This window comes from Homo sapiens, chromosome 6, assembly GCF_000001405.40.
Source record: "Homo sapiens chromosome 6, GRCh38.p14 Primary Assembly".
Lineage (NCBI taxonomy): Eukaryota > Metazoa > Chordata > Mammalia > Primates > Hominidae > Homo > Homo sapiens.
In genome coordinates, this window is record NC_000006.12 from 88,437,764 (window position 1) to 88,443,763 (window position 6,000).

Here is a 6,000-nt window from a genome sequence, read left to right on the forward strand (position 1 = left end):
ACAAATCCTAACTCCCTGTACCTGAACATGTGACCGTATTTGGAAATAGGGTCTTTGTAGAGGTAATTAGATTAAGAATCACCAGATGAGAACATCCTGGATTTACAATGGGCCTCAAAGCCAATGACTGAAGTCTTTATAAGAAAAAGGAAAGGAAGATTTGAGGCACAAAGACACGCAGGGATAAAGGCCATGCCACATGAAGATGGAGGCAGACATTGGAGTTCTGCAGTTATGAGCCACACAACAGCCCCCAGAAGCCAGAAAAGAAGTGTCATGGAAAGGGATCTCCCTCGGAGTCTCCAGAAGGAACCAACCCTGCCAACACCTTGATTTTGGACTTCTGGCCTCCAGAACTGTAAGAGAATCCATTTCTATTCTTTTAAGTCACCAAGTTCGTGGTAACCTATTTGGCAGCCCTAGGAACCTAATTTGCCACAGTAGAATGAGCTTTTGTAAACAGAAGTAAATCTTAAATTGTATCAAAAAATGTAATTATTATTTTAATTGTATTATAAAAATTTTTGTAGTCAGATTTTAAAAAGTTTATTGCTATAGTTTAGAGACAATAATTTCTCATTTGCTGCATTTCGCCCATGGCCACTGAAGTACATATTCATGATAGGAATAGACATTTACTTTCAGCTGAGGTTAATGTAAGAGCAAGATTTCTAAGGTGCCTAATTTTTTCCTTACAATTGTTTTTATCTTCTTCAAATTCTTTTTACGTGTGTATCTAAGATAACTTATCGCTGACATACATAATTTGGGAGTTAAAATCAACTTTAGTTGGCCAAGTTAATATTTATCCTCAAATGATATTTCTTTAAAACTCCCAAATAGGGCTTTTATTTTTAAAGACTCATGATCTAAATATGATTATTTAATTAAAATTATAAATTAAATGCAGTTCTTTAAAGTTATTTTGCATACTAATATAAATGTTGGTACACCAAACAATTCCACAAAAATTATAACATATAAACTAATCTTTAGGGTAGCATTGTATATTAGAAATATAATGTAAGCCACATATGTTGTTTTAAATTTTCTGGTGATCACATTTTTAAAAGTAAAAAAACTAAAATTAATTTTAATGATATATTTAATTTAACCCAGCGTAGTAGTCCCTCACTAATCTGTGGTTTCACTTTTCATGATTTCAGTTACCTGCAGTCAATCATGGTCTGAAAATATTAAATGGAAAATTTCATAAATGTAACAATTTGCAAATGTTAAGTTGTGTGACAGTCAGTAACATGATAAAGTCTCACCTTGTCCAGCTCCATCCTACCTGAGTCATGAGTCATCCAAGGGAGCTGTAGACACTCCCTGCCCTCATCAGATCCACTGTCATGGTGTCACAGTGCTTGTGTTCAAGCAACTCTTATTTTACCTACTAATGGCCCCAAAGTGCAAGAGGAATAATGCTGGCAATTCACATATGCCAAAGAGAAGCAGTTAAGTGCTTCCTTTAAGTAAAAAGGTAAAACTTTTCAACTTAATGAAGAAGGAAAAAATCATATGCCAAAGTCGCTAATATCTGCAGTAAGAACAAAACTGTGAAATTGTGTGGAAGGAAAAAGAAATTCATGCTTGCTAGCTTTCCTGTTGCACCTCAAACTGCAAGTTATGGCCACAGTATGTGATAAGTGTTGTCAAGATGGAAAAGGCATCAAATTTGTGGGTGGAAGATGAACAGAAACATGTCTCGATTGATGGCAATTGGGTTCAGCACTATTCTCAGTTTCAGGCATCCACTGGTGGTCTTGAAACCTGTATCCCCCACAGATAAGGGAGAACTTCTGCATATCCAAACTATTACCATTTTACCATGTAACCAATATAAAACATTATTGAGTTATTTTACCTTCTTTTTTTTTTTTGAACCAAGTTTTCAAAATCCAAGGTGTATTTTACACATACAGCACATCTCATTTCAGAATACCCACTTGTCAAGTCTCATTAGTCATATATGGCTAGTGGCCACCATATTGAGCACACAGCTCTGCGATTCCTCTTGGCCATCGCTACACACACCTGCTTGAATGACCACTTCCAAATATGTCAGTGATTTTTGTGACAAATTGCAAGTTGACAATATTTTATTAATATTTCCAGACTGATAGAAAGTAAAGTTATTGGCCAGATGCAGTGGCTCACGCCTGTAATCCCAACACTTTGGGAAGCCAGGTGGGTGGATTGCTTTAGGTCAGGAGTTCAAGACCAGCCTAGCCAAAATGGCAAAACCACATCTCTACTAAAAATACAATAATTAGCCAGGCATGGTGGCCCATACCTGTAATCCCAGCTACCTGGGAGGATGAGGCAGGAGAATCACTTGAACTCGGGAGGTGGAGGTTGCAGTGAGCTGAGATCGCACCACTGCACTCCAGCCTGGCAAAAAGAGTGACACTCCATCTCAAAAAAAAAATTTTTTAAGAAGAAAAGAAAGTTGTTACATATAAGAAAATTCTAAATGTTTCTATAACAGTGCTCTTTCAATATTAATGTCACTTTTTCTTTTAAATGTTATTTTCTAATGAGAACTCAGTATAAACCAAATTTGGATTTCATTCAAGGGAGGGTTTTTTTTTAGGAATTATTGAAAGATCATTGATAAGTAATTTTCTTATCTATAGTAGTCCAGGACTTGAACCCAAATTTAGCAATGTATGGTGGCTCTACTGACTTTATATGCTCCTTGCCTCTGATTCATTCCCACTGTCAATTCTATCATATCAGACCATACCCTAGGTCCTTGAAATAACAAAAAGATCCAAAAGTAAATTAGAAAAAAAATGTGTAAAATTACAAGCCTGATTTTTAACTCATGAAAAATGGTAGAAAATATATATCCATGTTCATAGGCAAAAGGAGGGGCAATCCAAGATTCCATCAATGAGTGAATGGATAAATAAAATGTGATAGAGACATCCAATGAAATATTATTCAGCCTTAAAAAGGAAGAAAATCCTGGCACATGCTATAACTTGGATGAACCTTGAAGGCATTTTGCTAAGTGAAATAAGCCAGTCACCGAAAGGCAAATACTGTACAATTCCACTTACATGAGGTCCTTAGAGTAGTCAAATTCATAGAGACAGAAAGTAGAATGGTGGTTTCCAGGGAGCGGGAGAGGAGATAATGGACAGCTGTTTAATGGGTATGGAGTTTCAACTTTGTGAGATGAAAAGAATTCTGGAGGTGGATGCTGGTGATGGTTGCACTACAATGTAAATGTACTGAACGCCCAAGAACGGTGCACTTGAAATAGTTAAGATGGTAAATTTTATGCTACGTATATTATATCACCAAAAAAAAGGTAGAAAAGAAAATCCAGTCACCCTAATAAAGGCTCTCCTACCTAAACACTGACAATGCCCAACTCCCATACAACATTTTCCTTGTGGATTTCTGAGTACTGTCATAAAGGACAAATTATATTTGTATATCCACAAATTTCATTTTATCCCATGATTTCAGCCTTATTCTCCGAGAGTTTTGACCAGGCCAGTAACTGATAGCTTATACAATGTGACCATTGTTTCTTCCCCCAGTATCACCTACCAACAGGACCACGAGGCCCCCAGTCCAGAATCTGGAGAATCAACAAAGGGCATGAAGAACACAGAGACTGCATAATCTGGCCCAGAGTCACAGAAAATGGACGTAATCACTTCCTGGATACTGATGTTTTCTGTGTCATACCTTTTCTACAAGGCCCTGGCAATGTAAGCTATGACAGCTGGTTGCCTGTCGTCATTGGCACTTGGTGGATGACGGCTGCATCCATTAAAAGGTGTGTGCACCATGCCAAGAGTGTTCCCAGCTCTATGTGAGCATCACAGTGTGCACCCTAAGTTCAAGCTGCGTGGCTGTTTTTCCTGCTGTGTCTGAGAATACTGCAAAAGCTGGGGATGATTCTAAAGAACAAGAAGTTCAAATGGTGCTACAGAGCCTCCTGGGAACAAAAAGAACCACAGGACACCTGGGAGTTCCCATCATTCTGCACTTGCTATAGGTTTTGGCCCCAATTTTTGCCACTATTCAGCCCTGGTACTGGCTTTTGGCCTCAACCCAAATCCTCAGACCACCTCAACCCAAATCTTCTTGGGCTCACCACATAAAGTCAGATTTTCCGAGTGAATAAAAATGAAGATGCTTTTGGATGGGACCAAGACCCAAGGGTTATAAACCCCTTTAAAAACTGAGTTTAGTATTTTTTGTTTTTTAAAAAGAGAAAGAAAAAAAGAGAATACTCATGGCTTTGGTAGCAATATAAAAAAAGGAAAAGGCAATAATAACATCAATACTCACCACTCTTTCAAATATTAGACAGGGAAGCAGGCAAGAGGTGCTACTTTTTCTATTTCTTGGTCTCTTCTTCAGATTTGGAGATAGCTTTGCTTGAAGGATAGCAAGAGACCTTTTAAAAAGATGAAAGTAGAGTCTCGTGTACTAATGAAAAAATAAGACAAAAATTCAGGATGCCAGACCTAGGGCTGCATTTGCTCTAGTCACTGGAAGAGTATGGATTTAAGACCTCTCGCAACCTGTGATCTGTAGAAGGGTGAACACAGAAAAAAAAAGAGTTATTTTTATTTTCTGCTTTTATTAAAAGTTTATTTTAAAAGTTACAATATTTGTATAATACTATTTAGAAGAAATAAAAAATACTTAGAAACATAAAGAAGTTAAACCACACATAATCTTACCACCCAGACAACAGTTATCAATATTTTGATGTACAAGATGTTTTTTAAAGAAACAGACCAATATACTATATGTTATGTTACTTGCTTTATTTTAAATTAAGGAATTTATATACAAAGGGCATCAATTTTCTACTACTGCATTAAAAAGTACCCCAAATTTTAGCAACTTAAAAAACACAAACATTTTTTAACTCACAAAGTTCATGTGGATCAGGAACCTGAGAGTGGCTCGGTTGAGTGGTTCTGGTGCTGGATCTCCCATGAAGTTGCAGTGAAGAGGTAAGCCAAGCTACAGTCATCTGAAGACCGGACTAGCCATTTCCAAGCTCCCTGCCCTGGTTTTTGGTTTTCCCTACTCACCTGTTGTTGAACTCGGTATTTTAGTTCCTCTGCACACGGTTGCCTTAGTATCTTCAGGACATGGCAGCTGGCTTCCCCAGAGCAAGTGATCCAAAAGAGGAAGAGCATGAAAGCAAGATCAAAACGGAAGCCATGGTGTCTTCCATTACCCAATGTCAGAAGTTACATACACCATTTCTGCTGTATCCTCAGGGTCACCCAGACCAACAATGAATGTGAGAGAGTTTGAAATACCAAGAGGCAGGGATTAATGGTGACCTTCTTAGAAATGTTGCCACAAATAAAATGCACAGATTTTGTGTGTACATTGATGAGTTTTGACAAATGTCATATGCAACCATCACTAATCACAAAGTATTTATGTCTGTCCAAAAAGCTTTCTCATGACCTCTTTCAGTCAATCCCTGCCCACCTCCCCAGCAGCAACCACTGTTTGTGGTTTTTCACCATATAATCATTTTCATTTGTTATTGTACTTCTTATAAATTGAATCAGACAGTATGTACTTTTTTCTGTCTTGCTTTTCTTACTCAGCAGTATCACTAAAGATTCATTCTTGTTGCTAAATGTTGTTCATTCCTTCTTATTGCTGCCTAGTATTCTACTGTATGAATATACCACAAATTGTTAATTAATTTACCTATTTACAGACTTTAGGTTGTCTTCAGAGTTTAGAGCTAATACGAATAAAGCTGTTGTTAACATCTTTGTACAAGTCTTTTTTTTCATGGGTGTATGTCTTCATTTATCTTGGGTAAAAACTAAGGAGTTTAATTGCACATCACAGGCTAGATATATATTTGATCTTATTTTTAAAATTGCCAAATGATTTTCTGAAGTGATAGTATCATTTTACACTTCCACCAGCAATTTATTAGAGTTTCAGTTACTATATGTACTCACCAACATTTAACTTCCCATT

At 37.0% G+C, this 6,000-nt stretch overlaps 1 long non-coding RNA gene across 6 annotated transcripts in view; it reads right to left on the reverse strand.

Moving 5' to 3' along the window:
• LOC105377885 (uncharacterized) overlaps nucleotides 1-5,156 on the reverse strand; it is a 143,181-nt gene extending 138,025 nt beyond the window's left edge. For 5 of the 6 annotated variants that reach the window (XR_001744251.1, XR_007059669.1, XR_001744250.1 and 2 more), the window contains exons 1-2: nucleotides 5,079-5,156; nucleotides 4,321-4,563 (exon numbers count right to left, since the gene is read on the reverse strand). This is a non-coding gene — a long non-coding RNA (uncharacterized LOC105377885). The other variant, XR_007059670.1, reaches the window with a different exon arrangement.
• Between the last annotated feature and the right edge of the window lie 844 nt (nucleotides 5,157-6,000).